Raw genomic sequence first — 25,221 nt, 5'->3', positions numbered from 1 at the left:
AACCTACTAAGTAGATTAATTGCTGTGAGTTTCTGAAAGACACAATTTACTAGTTTCTGGGAAACAGATTCACAACACATTCATCCATTACTTAAGAACTTTTGACTCTATTAGGGAATATATATCTTGGGCATAAATAGCCATAAAAGATAAAAAAAACTTAAGAGTCCAGAGGTATTATTGGAACTGGAGATGGAATGACATTAGGAGAGACTTGGTTGAGGGAGGGAGATTTAAGATGGGTTCTTGAACAATAGATTGATTTTGAATATTCATAGGAGGAAATTTATTCCAGGTGAAAAAAACAGCATAAAAAATACCTGAAGAAGGAGTATCTACAGTTGGGTTTCTTGATCTGTAGTCCAAGGATACTCCAAGGGATCAGTAAATATGTATTATAAAATATTTCATTTTTACCAACATTGAATGGAAATTTAGTAAATCTCAATCTGACAACCAAGAGTGGAGTTTAGCGATACTTGAAAATTTGTCACCAATACAAATCAGATGTTTTGTATTCGATTAATATTGTGATATTCAGCCTTATCATATTTTGCTCATCAATATTTTAAAATTATGGTAGTCATAGACCTGATCATAGCTCTTATTTAATGAGTTAACAATAAATGAGTTTAATGAGTAAAATTAAATTTATTTTAAAAATATTTTATAACTATTTCAATATACATTTTCTTTGTAATTTTACACATTTTATTCCATGCATTTAAAAACATTATTCTGAGAAAGTGTTCTTGTTAGCTATTGCTAGGTAAAAAATTACCCTAACATTTAGAAAATTACAATAACCCTTTATTTCCTCATGATTTTGTGGGTCAGGAATCTGAGAAGGGTCCCACCAAGCAACTGTCATATGTGATCTCTCACATGGTTATAGTTCAATGATTGCTATGATTTCACTCATGAAAACCACAAGCACCTTTTCAGGTGCTTTTTGGTTGCTGGACATCCAAGATGATTAGGAGTTCAGATGGGGCTGACCACCAGAACATCTACCTCCCCTTGTAACATGAAATTCTTGCACCATGGTGGCTGAGTTCTGAGAAGGAGCACATCAAGAGGTAGTATTCAGGAAGAGAGTGTGCTGAGAGACCAAAGAAGAAGCAACCCGCCTTCTCTGACCTTACTTCACATGTCATGCAGTGTCACCTCTACTTTCTCTTGGTTACAAATGAACAACTAAGACAAGCCCAAATTCAACAGAAGGCAAAAATATTTCCCTCCTCTTGTGGAAATACATGTCGAAAAATTGTGACCACCTCTAATTTGTCACAGAACAATTCCACAGACTTCACTGGAGTATCAATGATGTTCATGGCATAGTTAGCAATACTGTATTGTATATTTCAAAATAGCTAGAAGAGAGGATTTTGAATGTTTCCATCACAAAGAAATGATAAATGTTTCAGGAATGGGTATGCTAATTACCCTTATTTGATCATTACATAGCATATACATATATTACACTGTACCTCATAAATATGTACAATTGTTATGCATCAATTACAAACAATATAAAACTTGAAAGAATTTCAAATGTTAAGGACATTTGCCCTGGAGTACATGCTTAAGCAAAGAATGTATTCAGCAAAAGAGGAAAAGTGTTCCTAATTAATATTAATATTAGCTTTAGAGGGTGTCCAAGGTTGCTGGTAGTCAGCTACTAAGCCAAGATGTATAGATTTTCCAAGTCATATTGTTCTGATGTCTGTTAGAGACAAAAGAAAGAAAGAAATGAAAAACAAAGTTTACTTAACCTTGATAGGTCAAAAATGACAAAATGAAGCTTTGCCCTCAAACCAGAAAGAATGAGCAAATAGTTTCATAATGCTGAAAGCATCTTGCTTATGGGGAGATAAGGCTTGTCTTTCTCTGTTGAATGTAATTAAAAGAGATGGAAAAGAAACGTGAAGAGGTCCTCTATCCCCTCTCAGACATGCTGCAGTGATGGATCAAAGAGATGGGAACTGACACCTCTCATCTCCAGGACACCCGGAGTAGAAATACAGTCAATAAGATGACATGTTCATTGATGTGCAAGTCCTCTTCCCCTATCAGAGGGAGAAAGATGAAACTTGACAGTCCTCTTCTCACTAATTCCTTACTTCTTTTCACCTCACCTCTTTCCACAGGTAGAAGAAACTTCTGGATGAGAAAGACTTGACGTTTGTGTGTATGGGATCTTTGGGTGGGATTTTTATCTAAGTCTTTAGTCAAGGACATAAACATGTTCACTTACAGCCTCCAGCTAGAATATGGCTAGGGGAGTTATTATCAAGTGAAGAAAGCAACTCCTTAAATTCAAAGACTTACAGGCACAAGAACCTGATGAATCTTGTTTCAATTAGGAGATGTCTCCTTAATGGATCACAGTCCACTGAGGGTCAGGGAAACACATAGCTCAGGATTCTTATATGTATTCTGGGAGCCTAATTTGGGATACTGAGTATTTGGGATTTTAAATAATAACTGTAAGCCACTTAAAGGCAAAAATAACCTTAATCATTTTTGCATCTCTAGTTTTATCTGTGTCTGCTATATACTACTGATGATTGACAAATGAATAAATGATAGTGGAATGAAACTATTCAGAGGTCTGAGAACTCTATGTAGGTTCCTAGAAATTAAAATACAGGCCAGGTGCAGTGGCTCATGCCTGTAATCCCAGCACTTTGGGAAGCCGAGGCAGGCAGATCACGGGGCCAGGAGTTTGAGACCAGCCTGGCCAACACAGTGAAACCCCGTCCTACTAAAAATACAAAGAATTAGCCAGGCGTGGTGGTGGGCGCCTGTAATCCCAGCTACTTGGGAGGCTGAGACAGGAGAATTGCTTGAACCTGGGAGGCAGACGTTGCAGTGAGCCAAGATCACACCACTGCCCTCCAGCCCAGGTGACAGTGAGAGACTGTCTCAAAAAAATAAAATAAAATACAGGATATCTGACTACTTATAAGGCCCTATGTTTTCTGCCCTCTGACTAGTTGTCTAATCCAATCTCTCATGACTCTTTTTTTTACTTACCAAACAATGAAACTACAGTTGTATGTCTTAATGTCTTTGCCTGTGCTGCTCCAACTCTTAAGATGTGGACAAGGATAATCTAGGTAGATGGTAATATAAATTCCTCTGTAAGAAGGTAATCTTTGAGCAGAGGCCCAAAGGATAAGACAGAGTCAGCCACATGAAGTTCTGGAAGTGAAAGTGGATAGCATAATCTAAGCTGTGGGAAATGCAAGTATAAAGAAATGAGTTTGAGTTTTCTTCTAACAGCAAGGCAGCTAGTGTGGCTGCAGGTTAGTGAATGAAGACTTAGAACTGCACAAGATAATTTCAAAGATGAAACGTTTGGGCAAGGGCTGGGTCACATAGAACCTTGAAGGCCACAGTAAGGAGCTTAAATTTTGCTATAAGTGGAATGGTAGGTCATTCAACTGTATTAAGCAGGAGTGGGGCATTATCAGATTTTTTTTTTAAGAAGAGAATCACCTGCAGGAAGATAAGTGTGTATTCAGGGAGTCCAATTAGAAGGTGATTACAGCAGCTCATATGAAACAGTGGTTCAGATTAGGGTGATAGCAGTAATGTTTAGGGAGAGAAGTGAAAAGATTTTATGCATATTCTATCTGATGGGATGGAGGGATAAAATTTGATAATCAATTAATTAGAAAAGTATTTACATTTACTGGTAAAAAAAAAAAACATATAAATAAAAAAAACCCGAAATGTTTTTTTCTCCTATCAAATTGACAAGTGCTTTTTAAAAATGGTAAGATCTCAAAACTTTGTGAGTTTTTAAAAATCAACCAAATTGTCCAACAATAGGGATAAGTTAATACATTATAGGGCACACATATGCTTAAATGCTCCATGGCCATTACAAATGATGCTGTGGAGGAACACTTAATGACATGGAAAATGTTCTAGGAAAGTTTTATCTGTTCAACAACCAGCTGTTAGGGTTCATGCTTCTTGTTAAATATCAGATGGATTTGTAATGAAGGAAAATGTTAATATCTTTTAAACTTGCTGCTCAATTTCCCAATGGGAGGAGACTCTCATTTTATATGAAATATGCCTGGCAAATTTCTCGGGGTGAAAGCAAGACCCTAAGGACATATATCATCATGATACAAGGTTAACCGAAGAGGTCACCAAACTTCCTTACTGGAGAAATAAATAGAAATGTTGGGAAAGACAAATAATGTGGGCCATTGTCCCTTGCTGTGGAGTTTGAACAGGTGGCTGTGTTATTTTTGGTCTGCAGCAATGCAGAATGGACTAGAGTCCACACAGGCAGAATGACAAGGCAAGTCAGAAACTGAATTATAATGGCCGTGAGAAAATCGTTCTCTCCCATTTCATAATCTAACCGCTTTAGGAATTTTCAAAAACCAGAAAGGGCTTTTAACTTCTGTATATGGTGTGTCGTTCTCAACTAATATTTCAAATTTCTCAATGCAGTCATTAAAAATGGTAACCCATTAGTTAGCTCCCACTTATAAGTGAGAACATGTGGTGTTTGGTGTTCTGTTTCTGTGTTAGTTTGCTAAAGATAATGGCCTCCAGCTCCTTTCATGTCCCTGCAAAGGACATGATCTTATTCTTTTTTTATGGCTGCATAGTATTCTATGGTGTATTTGTACCACATTTTCTTTACCAAGTCTATCATTGATGGACATTTAGGTTTATACCCATGTCTTTGCTATTGTGAATAGTGCTGCAATGAACATAAACGTGCATCTGTTTCTATAATAGAATGATTTGTTTTTGTTTACAGTACCTAGTAATGGGATTGCTGGATAGAATCATTTTTTTGGAGGGTGAAGGGTGGGAGGAGGGAGAGGATCAGAAAAAACAAGTAATGGGTACTAGGCTTAATACCTGAGTGATAATCTGTACAACAAACCCCCATTACATAAATTTAACTAAGTAACAAACCTGCACTTGTACACCTGAACTTAACATAAAAGTTAAAAAAAATCAAAGATACAGCCCCAGATATTAAAGGTTTGCGAAAGACCTGATTTAGAAATTTACAAGGTGCTCAGTGTTTGGTGTTGGAAGGTACTCGGTGACTATTGGTTTATGTCATACAGAGTGGTTATGGAAGAATGATGACATTCAAGTATTTGCTATCCAGGGTCATTTTAAGAAAGATTTGGAGTAAAGAGACTAGGAAATGCACTTTTTATGTGGTTATACATAAGATAAAGAGGTGGATGATTTTTCTCTTCCCAGTTAAAACCCTGACCAAAATCTGCAACATAAATAAACATAAATGATTTTCTCACACTTAAAAAATGGTATCCCAGGTTAGGAACGTAATTAGATTCCAAGGATAAAAACTTAGGCAACCAGTATGGAGGAAGGTCCTTTGAAGAACATATAATCCAATCTAATAATAAAAGAGAAAACTGAGGTCCCCATAAAGATACACTACAAAAAGTTCTCATAGATGTTTGTCCACAGATTAACTCTAAACATGAAACTTTAAACGCATAAAGTTGATTTCAAAGTGAGATAGACTGTCTGTCACTCAGTACCCAGGCTCACCATTGCTAACAGATAGTAGAAAACTCATTACTCACTCTCCATGTGTAGACTTTTGCAAACTCACGGAAAGAACTGTGGAATTTGTTTTCGAGTTGCTATTTTCATTCTTTGTATTGCCTGTGGTTCCAGCAGCCCTGAAACACAAAGCCTGTGGCTCAGTTATTATTTCATTTCAGAGGTACCATCATGTGCTGGTACCCTGCCACTGCTGCAAGATGAATATCATTGCTGGCTGTCATTTCTAGTCATCATGCTTGAGGGAGGCAGCAGGGTGCACTTGAAGGCAAAATCATGGCTTAGTCATGCTTGAGTTTGGTGCACTTGGACAAAACCCTCAAAGTCACAGTCCTTAGTTTCTTCATTTGAAAATAAGAATAATAAATAAACTTGTCCAGCTTGGGAGTATTTATTTAATAGCAAAATATGTGTGAAATATCTATGTGGGCATTTAAATGCCTGCATATATAAAATAATGTTATTAAGCCTAGGGGCCTCCGTCCTTTAAGCCACTAATCTTTGCCATGAAAACTCCTCCTGCACACTCCTGATGCTCATCACTGTGACACAAACTCCATACAATCTGCATTGTTAAACATAAAGTCTCCCCATTTCTTTCTCCACTGGGGCCTACTGTATTCCACTCACCCACTTACTCCTTTAAGTGGGAAGTTTTTCGTGCCCTGATTTCCCAAGATACAATACTTGAATAGCTTCTTTAAATTAGCATTTTTTCAAAATGTGTCATAGTTGTGTACCATAGAAACAGCAATCAGGCATTGTGTTGAGATTTCACATGCATTATCTCATTTAATCCATAACTGCTTTAGAAGGCAGATATCACATGCTTTATATCTCCAGTGATGCAGGTGATTGATTGGTTGTGTCCCCACTCAAATTTCACCTTGAATTGTAATAATCCCCATGTGTCAAGTGGGGGGGCTGCAGGTGAAGATAATTGGGGTGGTTTCCCCCATGTTTTTCATGGGGTGGTTTCCCCCATATTTTTCTAATGGTAGTGAATAAGTCTCAAGAGATCTGATAAGTGGGAGTTCCACTGCATAAGCTTGCTTGCCTGCCACCATGTAAGACATGACTTTGCTCCTCATTTGCCTTCAACCATGATTGTGAAGCCTCTCCACCTATGTGGAACTGTGAGTCAATAAACCTCTTTCCTTTATAAATTACCCAGTCTCGGGTATGTCTTTATTAGCAGCATGAGAACAGACTAATACTCAGGAGTTCTATGAAGACAAAGTTAGGGTATAATTTATCGTCATTTCTTCAGCATGATCAAAATAGAACTCAATGAATGCATTATTATTACTACTATTACTATTCATTAAGTTTCTATAATACTGACATATTGGAAACTATGCTAAGCATTTTTCATGCATTGTCTCAGGCATGGTTATCCCCTTTTCAAACATGAGGATGCAGCCATAAAAAAGAATGAAATCATGTCCTTTGCAACAACAGGGATGAAGTTGGAGGCCATTATTCTAAGTGAGCTAACTCACAAGCAGAAAATCAAATATTGCATGTTTTCACTTATAAGTGGGAGTTAAACAAAGGGTACACATGGACATAAAGATGGAGAGAATAGTCTATGGGGACTCCAAAAGAAGGGAAAGTGAGGGGTGAGGGTTGAAAAATTGTCAATGAATAAAATGTCCAATATTTGGGTGATAGTAAACCAGAAACCCAACCCCACCATTACACATGTAATACCAGTGTAACAAACAAGTATATGTACCCACTGAATATAAATTTTTTAAAAATGGAACAGAAAAAATATATAATACAAATACATTTTCATTAAACAATGATCCCTCCCTCTAAACAATGAGGAACCTTGTACTCAAAGCAATAAAGCTATTTTCACAAAGTCACTAATGACAGAATCAGAATTTTGATACCAGACCGCCTGAACTTAAAACTAGTGTTCTCAACTGCCACCCTTCACTGGCTCATTTGAAAACATCGGGGAAGAATCTTGGACCATTTTTATCAAATGGAATGATCTTGGTGCAAATTTATTAATTAGACAGTCATATCAAGATACAGTTTCCTTTGCCCCACGGAATGACATCCGCCTTGTGACACCCCCAAATCATGTTTGCTCTTTGAACTCCATAGAGGAGTCTCAGACTACCACCATCTGCCACATGCCCTGTCTGGAGGTTTGCTGCTGGAGAAGAAATGAAGAAAGCAAATGCATCTCTTTTACTAGAAAGCAGTTCACAGTAGATTGAAATCGTATTTATATGTGAATACTCCCATCTCTGGTACACTTTTAAATACACCAAAAAATAAAGCAACTCATGGATATCTTGGCTATTCCAGAAAACTGGCGCTTCTCCTGATCACTGGCTTTGAAGAGGATGGTCAACATGGCAGGACACATGGCAGTGGTTAGCCTGAAGCTTCCTGGTTCTAACGTTCCCAGCATCAGCTGGTCAACACAGTCTAGCTGCTATTATGCACTCTCAAGAGAAAGAAGAACTTTACCCTTAAGATGAGCCCAGAAACTGGAGTGAGAAAAACAGGTCTTATTCTAGGAGAAACCAGAAAAAGAAAGTGTCATCAGGAACACAGAGAAATTAATGAAAAATAAAACTGATCCAAAAGTATTAAGTTGTCTGGGAGGAATAGTTTTCCACGCCTGAAACTAGCATATGTACTATAAAATAAAGCTAATTTAGAACAGTGATTGCCTTTTCATATACAAGAATCAGTTAACTACGCTGGTCAAAACTCTTCATTTTGCATAGATAGTCCATTTTTTTTTAACTCAGCAAAAGATAGGAGAAGAATTATAGGTCTGACCACTCAATCATTAATTCATTGATTCATGAAACCATTCATTAATGTATTCCTTCATTATGCCACTCATTTCTAAAGAGAATTTGACCAGCTTGCAATAGGAACCTACACTTAATAAAATCAGATTTCAAAAGGAAACAAATGTAAGAATCAGTAAATAAAAGCTATAGGAACAGAGCATAAGGGTTACCACATTCTTGACCAGGAGCCAAAGAGTAAATGGAAATAACATACTAAAGTCGATTGGGAATTATTTTTCTAAAGATACACGTTTCTTTGTCATAAAAAGAACATTCCTTTGCTGAGAAGTGTAACAGAAGCATTGGGAGAAAGTAATTTAGAAACTCTTGCATGATTTCAATATTTGTCCTCATGAAAAACAGTGGGTTAAAGGAAGGGTACAGAAATTATGCACAATGCCTAACTTTGAGCTTTTTAGAGGTGACAATAAAAAGAAAAACCCAATATGATATAAAAGGAAATTGAAAATTTTAAATTTCTTTCTTAGAAAAAAAATAGTTTATGTTGCTTTGAATTTAGGAAGAAATTGATTACTCAAGCACTTAAGCATCTAAAGGACATCCAATAATTAGTAAAACAGGGTAAAAGAGAGACAGTAATTTAATTTTAATTTTTTTTTTGAGACAAGATCTGGCTCTATCACCCAGGCTGGAGTGCAGTGGCACGATCATGGCTCACTGCAGCCTCGATCTTCAGGCCCAAGTGATCCTCTCATCTCAGCCTCCCAAGCAGGTGCGCATCATCACACCTGGCTAATTTTTGTATTTTTTGTAGAGACAGGGTTCCATCACGTTGCCCAGGAGGCTGTTCTCAAACTCATGAGGTCAAGCTATCTGGCTGCCTAGTCTTTCCAACTTGCTGGGATTGCTGGTGTGAGCCAATTCATCGGGCCTAATTTTTAAATTTAGTTTTCACCATGCCTGTAGAAAATTGACAGGATAGTGTAACCAACATCGATATAATTATCCTCCAGATTTGATCATTTTAACTTTTTGTTATATTTAATTTGCCTGATGCTTGCTTAAATGTGCTAAAGTATAATAAAGATAATATCATTTCATTTTAGCACTAATTTTAGTACACATTTCTAAAAACATAGAGCATTTTCTACGAGTGCTGAATACCATTATCAAACCCAATAAAATGGTAAAATAATCCTTAAATTTTCATCAAATACCATCTGTATTCAGAGTCAAACATTGTCCCCAAAATGATATAGCTGGCATGTTCAAAACAGGATCCAATATCATATCAAGGAACATGCCTAGGTCGACTTTACAATATTTGGGTTACCAAAATATAGGACCTTGATAATTAAGAATAATTACCAAGGGTAGAAATCTCCTAACCTGTTAAATATGGCAGAATCTACTTAGGAAGTTGTGGGAGGTAAATGGGAAATATAACTTTAGGGTTTTTAAAAAATATACATAAGTAATATGTTTTTTGTTCTTTTTTTATAATTAACAAATTTTAGATAAAATGAACAAGTGTGAAAATCAGTGGGTTTTGACAAAGATAAACTCCCTTGTTACCACCATCCCAATCAAGCCAGAAGCTGTTTACAACACTCCAGAAAATTTTATCATACCCATTTGGTGTCATCTCATACTCAATACACAAAATGTATCTCTAAGATGATAGAAAAGTGTTGCCTGTGTTTCGACTTCATAGCACATGGCATCATACAGCATGTATTCCTTGGTATCCTGCAAGTATTTTTTTTCAGCTTAGTATAATACTATTGAAGTACATTCATGCTTTAATATGTATCAGAAGTTTGGTTCTTTTATTGCTGCATATTATTCCACTGTATGAATGTATCACCATTTGTGATTTTGGTTGATACACATTTGGATTATGATGAGCCTTTTGCTCTTATGAATAAAGCTGCTATGGATATTTTTATACGAATAGTTTTGCACATGTACATTTTTATCTATTTTGGTTAAATGCCAAGGAATGAATTCACTGCATGTGTGTGTTTAACTTTATATGAAACTGCAAAATTGTTTTCAAAGTGGTTGAAACCATTTTACACTCCCACCTACAATGAACCAGAATTTCAATAATTCTATATTACTATGTACATCTAGCAGTGCCAGTCATTTTGATTTTAGTCATTATAGTGGGTGTATAGTGGTATCTCAGTGGTGTGGTTGAATATATTTTCACTTCTTTTTTTTAAAAAAAAACTCATGTTCATTTTATTGAGTTATTTATCTTTCACTATTGAGCTGTAGGAATTCTTCTTATATTCTAGATACAAGTATTTTAAAGTGAATATTTACTCCCAATGAAATGGCTGGCATTTTCATTTTTTAAAATAATGTTCTCTTGGAATCAACCTAAATGCCCATCAATGATAGACTGGATAAAGAAAATGTGGTACATATACACCATGGAATACTATGCAGCCATAAAAAAGAACAAGATCATGTCCTTGGCAAGAACATAGATGGAGCTGGAGGCCACTATCCTTAGCAAACTAACACAGGAATAGAAAACCAGCTGCATCTTCTCATTTGTAAGTATGAATGAAATGATGAGAACACATGAACACAAAGAGGGGAACAATAGAAACTGAGCCTACCTAAGGCAGGAGGGTAGGAGGAGGGAGAGGAGCAGAAAAATCACTATTGGGTACTAGGCTTAGTACCTAGGTGACAAAATAATCTGTTCAACAAACCCTTGTGACATGAGTTTAACTATGTAACAAACTTGCACATGTACTCCTGAACCTAAAAGTCAGAAAAACATAAAGTCTTTTAAAGACAAAAGAATTTTTAATTTAATAAAATGTAATGTATCTTTTTAAAATAATTAACACTTTTGGCGTCCAGAAAATTTTTGCTTACTCAAGATCATGAAGGAACTCTCTTATATTCTCCTATAACATTTTTTAGTTTTAGTTTTATGTTTAGGTTTATGAACTATCTCAAATTAATTTTTGTTCATGATCTGAGGTAGAGATCAAGGTTCATTTTTTTCCCTAATGGATATGCCATTGCTCTAACACTGTAGTTAAATATTGTTTTCTCAATGAATTACTTAAGTGGCTTTAATACCTAGACATTCTGAAAAAATCAATTGTCCAAATATGTGCAGATTTATTCTAGATTTCCTGGGTGTTTCATCAATTTATTTATCTATTCCCAATAGAAAAGCATCTTGATTATTGTAAATTTATAGTAAATGTTGAAATTAGCCACTGTAAATCCTCCACAGCAGTTCTTTAAGATTTTGTTGGCAATTCAACATCTTTTACCTATATATATTTTATAATGAACTTATTGATCCAATATGGTGTTGAATCTATATAGTTGTGTTTAGGAAAAATGGATATCTCAGGAACGTTAAATATTTAAATTAAAGGTCATGTTTTATCTCTAATTTGTTAGGTTGTTCTTAATTTCTTTCTGCAGTGTGTTTTTGTTTTTGATAGTTCAGTTTTGGTATCTCAGGAACATTAAATATTTAAATTAAAGGTCACGTTATATCTCTACATTTGTTAAGTTGTTCTTTATTTCTGCAGTGTGTTTTTGTTTTTGATAGGTCTTACATAGTTTTCATTAAATTTATCTTAATTATTTTATAGTTTGAGGCTAATTATAAACAATCTTCTAAAATTCACTTCCTCTTGTTACTTGTTGCTGTCATTTAAAAATACTTTTTCCTCACGCCTGTAATCCCAGCACTTTGGGAGGCTGAGGCAGGTGGATAACCAGGTCAGGAGATCAAGACCATCCTGGCCAACATGGTGAAACCCCGTCTCTACTAAAAATACAAAAATTAGCTGGGTGGGGTGGCGCATGCCTATAGTCTCTGCTACTCAGGAGGCCTAAGGCAGGAGAATTGCTTGAACCTGGGAGGTGGAGGCTGCAGTGAGCCGAGATTGTGCCACTGCACTCCAGCCTGGGTGACAGAGCAAGACTCCATCTCAAAAAAAAAAAAAAAAAAAATGTCCAGAGTTTTCAAAGTTTTGGGTTTTACATTTAAGTCTTTAATCTACCTTGAGTCAATTTTTGTATATGGTGTAAGAAAGGGGTCCAGTTTCCATCTTCTGCATATGGCTAGCCAGTTATCCCAACACCATTTATTGAATAAGGAATCCTTTCTCCATTGCTTGTTTTTGTCAGGTTTGTTGAAGATCAAATAGGTCTAAGTGTGTGGTCTTATTACCGGGTTCTCTATTCTGTTCCACTGGTCTATGTGTCTGGTCGTGTACCAGTTCCATGCTGTTTTGGTTACTGTAGCCCTGTAGTATAGTTTGAAGTCAGGTAGGATGAAGCCTCCAGGTTTTTTTTGTTTTGTTTTGTTTTGTTTTTGCTTAGTATTGCCTTGGCTCTTTTTTGGATCCATATGAATTTTAAAGTAATTTTTTCTAGTTCTGTGAAGAATCTCAATGGTAGTTTAATAGGAAGAGCCTTTTCCTTTGAGCAGTATGGCCATTTTAATGATATTGATTCTTCCTATCCATGAGCATGGAATGTTTTTCCATTTGTTTGTGTCAGCTCTGATTTCTTTGAGCAGTGTTTTGTAGCTCTCCTTGTAGAGATCTTCTACCCCCCTAAGTTAGCTGCATTCCTAGGTATTTCATTCTTTTTGTGAGAATTGTGAATGGGAACACTTTTAACCTATCAGGACATAAGCACAGGCAAAGATGTCATGACGAAGATGCCAAAAGCAACTACAACACAAGTGAAACTCGACAAATAGAATCTAATTGAATTTCTGCACACAAAAGAAACTATCATGAGAGTAAACAGCCTATAGAATGGGAGAGAACTTCTGCAAACTATGCATCTGACAAAGGTCTAATATCTGTAAGAACTTAAGCAAATTTACAGGAAAAAAAACAGCTTTCATTAAAAAGCAGACAAAGGGCGTGAATAGGCACTTTTCCAAAGACATACATGTAGCCATCAATCATATGAAAAAAAGCTCAGCATCACTGATCTGAGAATTGCAAATCAAAACCAAGATCATGTCTTTTACAGGGCTATGGGTAGAACTGGAGGCCATTATCTTTAGCAAACTAACACAGGAACAGAAAACCAAATACTGCATGTTCTCACTTGTAAGTGGGAGCTAAATGGTGAGAACACATGGACAAAAAGAAGAATCAACAAACACTTGGCTCTATTGAAGTGTGGAAGGTGAAAGGAGGAAGAGGATCGAAAAAATAACCAATGAGTACTAGGCTTAATACCTGGGTGAGGAAATAGTCTGTACAAGAAACCCCATGACACAAGTTTACCTATGTAACAAACCTGCACTTGTACCCTTGAACTTAAAAGTTAAATAAATAATTTTTTGTATATTGACCCCATATCCTGCAAAATTGCCTAATTCTAGAAATGTATATGTGCCCAAGTTCTAGAAACTTAAAGTCTTTAAGATTTTTCTGTTAATACCATTTCCTCTATGAACAAAAAGACTTCTGTTTTCTAAGTTCTGTGCTTTTCATTTTTCATGCTTTAAGTCATAATATAAGATATCCAGTACAAGTCTACATAGAAGCAGTAAAAACATATATCTTTGACTTGTTCTCAGTCACAGGGAGTATGTGTTCAATATTTCACCACTATGATGATAGTTCTTTGTTTTCCATGTAGGCCCTTACTCAAATTGAGAAATTTGCTTTCCATTTCTATTTTGGTAAAAGCTGTCTTCATGGCTTGTGTTTAAATTTTGCCAAATTGTATTTTCTGCATACAAATAAGATAAACATGTATATTTTTGGGTTTTTATCTTTTAGTGTGAGAAATTATACTGATTATTATTATTATTTTATTTAGTTTTTAACTTTAAGTTCTAAGATACATGTGCAGAACATGCAGGTTTGTTACATAGGTATAAGTGTGCCATGGTGGCTTCCTGCACCTATCTTCACGTCACCTAGGTCTTGAGCCCCATATGCATTAGCTATTTGTCTTGATACTCTCCCTCCCCTTGACCCCACCCCCAACAAGCCCCAGTGTGTGTTGTTCTCCTCCCTGTGTCCATGTGTTCTCATTGTTCAACTCCCACTTATGAGTGAGAACATGTACTGTCTGGATTTCTGTTCCTGTGTTAGTTTGCTGAGAATGATGGCTTCCGGCTTCGTCCATGTCTCTGCAAAGGACATGATCTCATTCCTTTTTATGGCCGCATGGTATTCCATGGTGTATATTTACCATATTTTCTTTATCAAGTCTATCATTGATGGGCATTTGGATTGGTCCATGTCACTGCTATTGTGAATAGTGCTGCAATAAACATACATATGCATGTATCTTTATAATACAATGATTTATATTCCTTTGGGTATATACCCAATAATGGGATTACTGGGTCAAATGGTATTTCTGGTTCTAGATCTTTCAGGAATTGCAACACTGTCTTCCACAATGGTTGAACTAATCTATATTCCCACCAACAGTGTAAAAGTGTTCCTATTTCTCCACAGCCTCACCAGCATCTGTTTCCTGACTTTTTAATAATTGTCATTCTGACTGGTGTGAGATGGTATCTCATTGTGGTTTTGATGTGAATTTATCTAATGATCAATGATGCTGAGTTTTTTTTTTCATATGTTTGTTGGCCACATAAATGTCTTCTTTTGAGAAGTGTCTGTTCATATCCTTCACCCACTTTTTGATGGGGTTGTTTTTTTCTTGAAAATTTGTTTAGGTTCCTTGTAAATTCTGGATATAAGACCTTTGTTAGATGGATAGATTGCAAAAATTTTCTCCCATTCTGTAGGTTGCCTGTTTGTTCTGATGATAGTTTCTTCTGCTATGCAGAGCTCTTTAGTTTAGTTAGAACCCATTTGTCAATTTTTGCTTTTGTTGTCATTGCTTTTGGCAACATTACAAAATCTATGCCCATGCCTATGTCCTGAATGGTATTGCCTAGGTTTTCTTCTAGGGTTTTTATGGTTTGGGGTTTTACATTTATGTCTTTAATCCATCTTGAGTTAATTTTTGTATAAGGTGTAAGGAAGGGGTCCAGTTTCAGTTTTCTGCATGTGGTTAGCCAGTTTCCCCAGCACCATTTATTAAATAGGGAATCCTTTCCCCATTGCTTGTTTTTGTTAGGGTTGTCAAAGATCAGATGGTTGTAGATGTGTGGTCTCATTTCTGAGGTCTCTATTGTTCCATTGGTCTATATGTCTGTTTTGGTACCAGTATCATGCAGTTTTGGTTACTGTAGCCTTGTAGTATAGTTTGAAGTTAGGTAGCATGATGCCTCCAGCTTTGTTCTTTTTGCTTAGTATTGTCTTGGCTATGTGGGCTCTTTTTTGGTTCCATATGAATTTTAAAGTAGTTTTTTCTAATTCTGTGAAGAATGTGCATGGTAGTTTGATGGGAATAGTAGTGAATCTATAAATTACTTTGGGCAGTATGGCCATTTTCATGATATTGATTCTTCCTATCTATAAGGATGGGATGTTTTTCCATTTGTTTGTGTCCTTTCTTATTTCCTTGAGCAGTGGTTTGTAGTTCTCCTTGAAGAGGTCCCTCATGTCTCTTTTTAGCTGTATTCCTAAGGTATTTTATTCTCTTTATGGCAATTGTGAATGGGAGTTCATTCATGATCTGGCTCTCTGCTATTCTGTTGTTGGTTATAGCAATGCTTGTGATTTTTGCACATTCATTTTGTATCCGGAGACTTTGCTGAAGTTGCTTATTAGCCTAAGGAGATTTGGTGCTGAGACAATGGGGTTTCTAAATACAGTATCTTGTCATCTGCAAACAGAGACAATTTGACTTCCTCTCTTCCTATTTGAATACCCTTCATTTTTTTCTCTTTCCTGATTGCCTTGGCCAAAATTTTCAATACTATGCTGAATAGGAGTGTTGACAGAGGGCATCCTTGTGTTGTGCCAGTTCTCAAAGGGAATGCTTCCAGCTTTTGCCCATTCAGTATGATATTGGCTGTGGGTTTGTCATAAATAGCTCTTATTACTTTGAGATACGTTCCATCAGTACATGGTTTATTGAGAGTTTTTAGGATGAAGCTGTGCTGAATTTTATCAAAGGCCTTTTCGGCATCTATTGAGACAATCGTGGTTTTTCTCATTGGTTCTGCTTATGTGATGATTACGTTTATTGATTTGCATATGTTGAACCAGACTTGCATCCTAGAGATGAAGTCAACTTGATCATGGTGGATAAGTTTTGTGATGTGCTGCTGGATTCGGTTTGCCTGTATTTTATTGAGGATTTCTGCATCAAAATTCATCAGGGATATTGGCCTGAAGTTCTCTTTTTTTGTGTGTGTTTTTCTGCCAGGTTTTGGTATCAGGATGAGGCTGGCCTCATAAAATGAGTTAAGGAGGAGTCCCTCCTTTTCAATGGTTTGGAATATTTTCTGAAGGAATGGTACCAGCTCCTTTTTGTACCTCTAGTAGAATTTGGCTGTGAATCCATCTGGTCCTGGGCATTTTTTGGTTGGTAGGCTATTTATTAATGCCTCAATTTCAGAACTTGTTATTGTTCTATTCAAGGATTCCATTTCTTCCTGGTTTAGTCTTGGGAGGGTGTATGTGTCCAGGAATTTATCTGTTTCTTCTAGATTTTCTAGTTTATTTGTGTAGATGTGTTTATAGTATTCCCTGATGGTAGTTTGTATTTCTCTGGGGTCAGTGGTGGGTGATAGCTCCTTTATCATTTTTTATTGTGTCTATTTGATTCTTCTCTTTTTTCTTCTTTATTATTCTTGCAAGCAGTATATTTTATTACTTTTTTCAAAAAACGAACTCCTAGATTCATTCATTTTTTTGAAGGATTTTTGTGTCTCTACCTCCTTCAGTTCTGCTCTAATCTTCGTTATTTCTTATCTTCTGCTAGATTATGAATTTGTTTGCTCTTGCTTCTCTAGTTCTTTTAATTTTGATGTTAGGGTGTTGATTTGAGATCTTTCTAGCTTTCTGATGTTGAGCATTTAGTGCTATAAATTTCCCTCTTAACACTGCTTTAGCTGCATCCCAGAGATTCTAATACATTGTCTTTTTGTTCTCATTGGTTTCAAAGAACTTCTTGATTTCTGTCTTTTCATTATTTACCCAGGAGTCATTCAAGAGGAAGTTGTTCAATTTCCATGTATTTGTGTGGTTTTGAGTGAATTTCTTAATCCTGAGTTCTAATTTGATTGCACTGTAGTCTGAGAGACTCTGTTATGATTTCAGTTCTTTTGCATTTGCTGAGGAGTGTTTTACTTCCAATTTTGTGATTGATTTTAGAGTAAGTGCCATGTGGTACTTAGAAAAATGTATATTTTATTGTTTTGGAGTGGAGATATCTATTAGTGCAGGTATTTATTAGGTCCACTTGATCCAAAGCTGAGTTCAAGTCATGAATATCCTTGTTATCATGAATATCCTTGTTAATTTTCTGTCTCATTTATCTGTCTAATATTGACAGTGGGGTGATAAAGTCTCCCACTATTATCTTGTGGGAGTATAAGTCTCTTTGTAGGTCTCTAAGAACTTGTTTTATGAGTCTGGGTGCTCCTGTATTGGGTGCATATGTATTTAGGACAGTTAGCTCTTCTTGTTGAATTGATGCCTTTACCATTATGCAATGCTTTTTTTGTCTTTTTTGATCTTTGTTGGTTTAAAGTATGTTTTGTCAGAGACTAGGATTGCAACCCCTGTTTTCTTCGGCTTTCCATTTGCTAGACAAATTTTCCTCTGTCCCTTTATTTTAAGCCTATGTGTGTCTCTACACGTGAGATGGGTCTCTTGAATACAGCACACTGATGGGTCTTGACTCTTTATCCAATTTGCCATTCTGTGTCTTTTAATTGGGGCATTTAGCCCATTTACATTTAAGGTTAATATTGTTATGTGTGAATTTGATCCAGTCATCATGATGCTAGCTGGTTATTTTGCACACTTGTTGATGCCGTTCCTTCATAGTGTCATTAGTCTTCACATTTTCGTGTGTTTTCCAGTGGCTGGTACTGGTTTTTCCTTTCCATATTTAGTGCTTCCTTCGTGAGCTTTTGCCAGGCAGGCCTGGTAGTAATGAATTCCATCAGCATATGCTTATCTGAAAAGCATTTTATTTCTCCTTCACTTATGAAACTTAGTTTGGCTGGATATGAAATTCTGGGTTGAAAATTCTTTTCTTTAAGAATGTTGAATATTGGCCCCTACTCTCTTCTGACTTGTAAGGTTTCTGCTGAGAGATCTGCTGTTAGTCTGATGGGCTTCCCCGTGTAGGTGACCTCGCCTTTCTGTCTACCCTTAACATTTTTTCCTTCATTTCGACCTTAGTGAATCTGATGATTATGTGTCTTGGGGTTGACCCTCTCGTGCAGTATCTTAGTGAGGTTCTCTATATTTCCTGAATTTGAATGTTGGCCTGTCTTGCTAGATTGGGCAAGTTCTCCTGGATAATATCCTGAAGTGTGTTTTCCAACTTGGTTGCATTTTCTCCATTTCTTTCAGGTACTCCAATCAGTCAGAGGTTGGGTCTGTTTACACAGTCCCACATTTCTTGGAGGTTTTGTTTCCTCTTTTACATTCCTTTTTCTCTAATCTTGTCTGCCTGCATTGTTTCAACAAGATAGTCTTCCATCTCTAATATTCTTTCTTCCTCTTAATCGATTTGGCTATCGATACTTGTGTATACTTTACAAAGTTCTCATGCTGTGTTTTTCTCCATCAGGTCATTAATTTCCCCTATAAACCAGTTATTCTGGTTAGCAACAACTCTAACATTTTCTCAAGGTTCTTAGCTTCTTTGCATTGAGTTAGAACATGTTCCTTTACCTCAGCAAAGTTTGTTATTACCTGCCTTCTGAAGCCTGCTTCTGTCAATTCACCCATCTCACCCTCCGTCCAGTTCTGTGTCCCTGCTGGAGAGGTGTTGTGATCATTTGGAGAAGAGGCACTCTGGCCTTTTGGGTTTTCAGCGTTTTTTCATTGATTCTTTATTATCTTCATGAGTTTGTCTAGTTTTGATCTTTGCTGCTGCTGACCCTTGGATGAGATTTTTGTGGGTACTTTTTGCATTGATGCTGTCTTTGTTGCTTTCTGTTTGTTTTTCTTTCAAAAGTCAGGTCCCTCTCCTGTAGAGTTGCTGCGGTTTGCTGGGGGTTCACTTCAGGCCCTATTCATCTGGTTTGCTCCTGTGCCTGGAGATGTCACTCAAGGAGGCTGGGGAACAGCAAAGATGGGTGCCTGCTCTTTTCTCTGGGATCTCTGAGCTTGAGGGGCACTGACTTGATGCCAGTAGGGATGCTGCTGTACAGATGTCTGACAACCCCTGTTGTTGCGGGGGTTTCACCTGGATGGGTGGCACGGGAAGCAGGACTCTTTTAATGAAGCACTTTGGCTGTCCCTTAGTAGAGGTGGTGTGCTGTGCTGGGGGGCAATTCGCTCATCTGGGCTGCCTGGAATCCTCAGAGCTAGCAGAGGGAAACACTAAGTCTGCTGGTCCATAGAGACTACAGCCACTCCTGCTGCTAGGGGCTCAGGCCCAGGGAGATCAGAGTTTTTGTCCCAGAGCCCCTGGCTGGAGTTGGAATCCCTTCAGGGAGGCCCTGCAGCTGCAGTGCTGGCTGCTGCCCCTCCTGCAAAGAGCTCAGATGGCTTAGACAGCAGGCAGCTTGCATCAGTGGTGATGGTCCCACCTCTCCTTGGGAACCTGGCTTAGGCTGCTTCTACCAGAGTTAGAATCTGTGTGGCTTTCTAATAGGGACCCAAGGCCCTGGTGGTGTGGGCTCACAAGTGGGATATTTCAATCCGGGGGTTGCATAGTTCTGTGAAAAAAGCAGTTTCCCAGGCTGGGTAGCAGGCTCACTCACTACCTCCCTTGGCCAAGGGTAGGGGCTCCCCAGCCCTGTGTGGCTTTCAGGTGGGCCACTGCACCACACTGTCCTTCCTTCCTTTCCATGGGTCACACCAGCTGCCTAGTCAGTCCTAATGACAGAACCTGGATGCCTTGGTTACCAGTGCAGGATTTGCACGGCTTTGAATCTTTTCCATGGGAGCCTCTGATTGCCACTGCTTCTAGTCAGCCATCTTGGTTCTGCCCCCACCAATCTGTTTATTATTTTTTTTAACATTGAACCAAACTTACATTCCTTAGAAAAAACACAGTTGGTCATGCTGTTTTATCCTTTAAAAAATATTTTCTGAGGTAGGTTTGACATTCTGATAAGCATTTTTACATCCATATTAAGGATGGATATTAGTCTATAATTTATTTTGTGTATTTGATATCTAATTTTGTTCTTAAGTTTAAAGTGATCTCATTAAGCAATTCTCTATTTTAGAAAATAATTTATGTAACTTTGGCATTATTTCTCATGCAATGATTGATAAAAATAAATAATGAATCTATTTGTACCTGGCACTTTATGACATACATTTTAATTATTAATTATGTTTATCTATATAAATAAAAAGGCAAAAAAGTATTTTATATAAATAAAACATTGTTTATTGTTAGTGTTTGAAGTCTTGATTGATTCATCAAATTAATTGGCCTAGTTAAAGTAGGGCTTTCTAATTTTATTCATTTTTTAAACAACACATTTTAGGCTTTGTGAATTTATAGTTTGCTTTCTATTTCATTGTCTTTATATTTTATCTTTAATATTTACTGTCTTGCACTTGCTATCAGTTTTTCTTTTGCTAGATTCTTAATTTGGAAAATTAGATAATGTATTGAAATCTTTCTCCTTTGTAACAGTGGTATTTAAAAGTGTATGTTTCCCATTACACTTTACCTGTATCCCACAACTTTTGATATATTACTATTCAGTGAAAAATATTTTTTTATTTTTATTGTGATTTCTTATTTGACATATAGGTATTTAGAAATGAGTTGCCTAATTTGAAATATTTATAAATTTTCTAGGTATTTTATTGTTTTTTGATTTATAATTTTATCCTGTTGTCTTCAGGAAACAGAGTATGTTTTGAAATTCATGAATACCTGTTTTATGCCTCAACATTGAGTCTACTGTAGTGACCATTCCACGGACACTTGAGAAAAGTGTTTGTCCTGCAGTTTTTGAATGAGTACTGTTGTCATATCAAATTGGTTTATACTGTAGTTCTAATCTTCTGTATTTTTATTAATCTTTTCTCTGCTTTTCCTTTTAATTACAAAAATAGAAGTACTGAAATCTCCAATTATGGCTAAGTTTTAATGTATTTGTCCCATACTTCTATAAAAATTCTTTCATTAATTTAATATTTGCAATTTTGATTAATTGACACCTACCATGGTGAAGTGATTTACTTTATCTCTGCTAAAAATTATTTTCTTGCATTTTGTTTTGTCCTGATAGTAACCAAGACACATCAGCTTTCATATGCTTATTTTTGCAAAAGTATATTTTCCATTTAATTTCTTCCAGTGCTTCTGTCTTCATACATAGAATGTATCTGTTGCAGCATAGAGCTATAAATTAAATGACTAGGCTCATGTTTAAATATAGCATTTTGCTGTCTGTTTTCTATTTTACCCTTTTAGCTTCCCATTTTAAATGTACCTATGTGTGTATTACATATAATTTAACCATTTTAATTGTACAGTTTAGTGGTACCAAGTACACTCAAATTGTTATGCAGCCATTATGCCCATCCATCTTCTAGAGCTCTCTACATCTTAAGCTAAAAGTCTGTACTATTAAAACAATGCCATTTTCCACCCCCACTGCCAGTACCTGGAAACCACTATATATTTTTAAATGTTTCATCTCTCTGCTCTTTTGGCCTCATGTATACAGAGAGAGATAAGTATACAAATATGTGTATCTTGTATTTTCTTTGATATTATATATGCATTTTCACTTATGACAGTGTAACTTTATTTATATGTGACTTTACATATAATATATTATAGAAGAATACATCTATTTATTACCTCTTTCATCCCTTTGCTAGTCTTGCCATACATTGTTTCTCAGTTTAGTCAATTAACTTCATAAGAAATTAAGTAGCACGCACTTTTACATTGACTTACATGTTTACTATTTCTAGCACTAATCTTTTCATATTATAGATCTCCATTTCCTTGTAACTTCATATGCCTTAAGTCTAAATAATTTCAATATTTCTTGCAGTGTGTATCTGCTACAAGATTTTTTTGTTTATCTGAAAATGTCTTTATTTTGTCTTCATTTTTGAAATATATTTTTGCTGTGTGTGGAATGATAGGCTGACAGTGTTTTTTGTTTTTCTCTCAGCATTTTAAGATGTCATTTCATTATCTTTTAGCCTCTTTTTTGTATGATGAAATGTCAGCTTTCATTATTATTTTTATAATCTTATATATAATGTCTCATTTTTCCTCTCTTTCCTCCGTCTTTTAAGGCTTTTCTTTTTTCAACAGACAAATCCTGTCCAGTTTCTGTCTGCTTTTGACTGCTTTCTATTGTCTTCAAACTATTACCATTTTTTCCCAGTTTTTCTTCCTCATCATCTGGACATTTAGTCTTATATAAGGTACTCTGCCATTACTAGAAAATAGAACTCAAGTTTGTATGTTTCTAATATTTACCCATTTATGTGCTATTTCTGGGAAGCTTCATTCTTTTGTGTGAACGCATGTTTTGTCATATCATTTTCCTTTTGTCTAAAACAATTTTAAGTATTTCTTTTGGATCACATTAGCTGATGACAAAATGTTCTCACCTTTCATTATTTAAAAAAGTATTTCACCTTTATTTTCAAAGATGTCTTCTCTCGGTATTGAATTCTTACTGTCTCTCTCTCTCTTATCTCTGTGAGATGAGAGAGAGAGACAGTAAGAATTCTATCTAGCTATCGTAAGAATTCAATACCTAGAGAAGACATGTTATATATGTTATATTGATTATATGTATATAATCAATACTTCAAAGAGATTGTTTCATTATAGTCTAGATTGTAAATCTTCAGGTAAGAAGTCTCTGGGCATTGTTATTTTCTGTGTAATATTTTTGTTCTCTCTGGTTGATTTTAAGAATTTTCTCTTCATCTGTGGCTTTCAGGAATGTGATTATTATATGCCTTTGTGTGGTTTTCTTTGTGTTTAGCCTTCTTAAGTCTTCTTGAGCATCTTGGATATATCAGTTTGTATTTCTCCTAACATGTTGAGAATTTTCAGCCATTATTTCTTCAAATACTTTTTCTGCAACTTTCTCTTATTTGAAGACTTGTATAAGAGGCTGCTTGATATACTCCAACAGGTCACGTTGACACTGTTTATATTTTCAATAACTTTTTTTCTCCATGTGCGCTATGGTTTGAATGTGTCCCTCCCAAAATTTGTGATGCAACTTAATTCTCCTTGCTGTGGTTTTACAAGGTGGAGACTTCTGTGAGGTGACTTACCCTTGAGGTCTTCTGCCTCATGAATGGGATTAATGCCCTTATATAAAACATGTGAGGGAACTGTTCAGCCCTTTTTACCTTCCTCCTGGAGGACACAGCATTTGTTCTCTCTGGAGGGCACAGCAGAGAGCAGCCCTCAGCAGACCGGACCCTGCTGGTACCTTGATTTCGGACTTCTCAGCTTCCAGAACTGTAAGAAATACATTTCTGTTATTTATAAATTACCCAGTCTTGAACATTTTGTTACAGCAGCATGAACATATGAAGATAACATGCTTTCTTAAACTTAGTTTCTGATACTTGAATTGAAGTTCTCTGATCTTTTCTGTCCCTAGTGGTATTTAATCTGCTTTAATCCCATCCATATATTTACTTTTCTGATACTGTATTTTTCATGTGGGAATTCATATTTGGTCCTTTTCTCATATCTTATATTTCCTTCATCATTGTGTTCACATTGTCCTTGAAATCCTTGCAAACATTGAACAGATTTACAATAGCTGTTTTAAAATCCTTATCTGCTAATTCAATCATTTTGTTTATTCATAGATTTTTTATTTACTAATTTATTTCCAGCTTAAGTGTCACATTTTCCTGCTGTGAGATTGAATAATTCATACTTAAAGCTGTTGAAGTTTTAACTTATTCTGAGCCTTGAAAGGAATGTGGCTATGTGACCTGACATAGCCAGGTCATGTGACATGCAGCTAAAAGTTCTGCATTTTTTCCTATAAATAATTAGGAAGACCACATAGAAGACTCTCTCAGATCACTGTCCCTCCTCCAGAATAATCAAGTAATGTTTTTTGGAATGTAGCCATCTGTAACCAATCAAATCACTGCAATGTACGCACTGGTCTTGAACAAAAAATGTTGTAATTCTACAAAAATTTCTCTGTCTTTGCCTATATAGGTGAAGCCTTAACTTTCCACTTTGGAGCACTGACCTCATTCATTTGGGGTTGGTGCTTCCCAGGTAGCTACCCTCAAGTTTTGCCCTCAAATAAACTCTATACTTAATCATATTTTCTGAATCTCATTATTTACGTTTGACACTGTTCTTGCCAGGATAATAATTTTTCATGGGATGCTTTACACTGTCAACTTTAGATCATAAAGTGCTGGATATTTTATACTGTTGTTTTGAAAAGAATTTGTTTTTTAAAGTAATAGTAGGTACACAGTAAAACTGAGAGGAAGGTATACAAAGACGTCCCGTATACCCCTTTCCTCACACATATGTAGCCTCCACCATTATTACCATCCCCCACCAGAGGAGTATATGTATTATAATCAATGAACCTAGACTGACACATCTTCATTACACAAAGTTCATAGTTTATACTTTAGGGCTCACTGTTGATATTGCTCATTATATGGGTTTTGAAAAATGTGTAATGACATATTTCCACTTTTATAGTATCATACAAAATAGTTTTCTGCCTTAAAGACACCCGATGTTGGGCTTATTCATTCCTCTC

The 25,221-nt window shown here is 36.1% G+C and overlaps 1 long non-coding RNA gene across 1 annotated transcript in view; it reads right to left on the bottom strand.

Moving 5' to 3' along the window:
* The window catches only part of LOC101928849 (uncharacterized), a 128,376-nt gene extending 104,446 nt beyond the window's left edge, over nucleotides 1–23,930 (bottom strand). Inside the window, exon 1 of the long non-coding RNA XR_001746918.2 lies at nucleotides 23,819–23,930. This is a non-coding gene — a long non-coding RNA (uncharacterized LOC101928849). The remainder of the gene's footprint in view (nucleotides 1–23,818) is intronic.
* Nucleotides 23,931–25,221: the final 1,291 nt, after the last annotated feature.

The sequence above is a fragment of the Homo sapiens genome, chromosome 9 (assembly GCF_000001405.40).
Source record: "Homo sapiens chromosome 9, GRCh38.p14 Primary Assembly".
Classification (NCBI taxonomy): Eukaryota; Metazoa; Chordata; class Mammalia; order Primates; family Hominidae; genus Homo; species Homo sapiens.
Note: the sequence above shows the minus strand (reverse complement) of the source record. Positions and strands in the feature narration are given on the sequence as shown.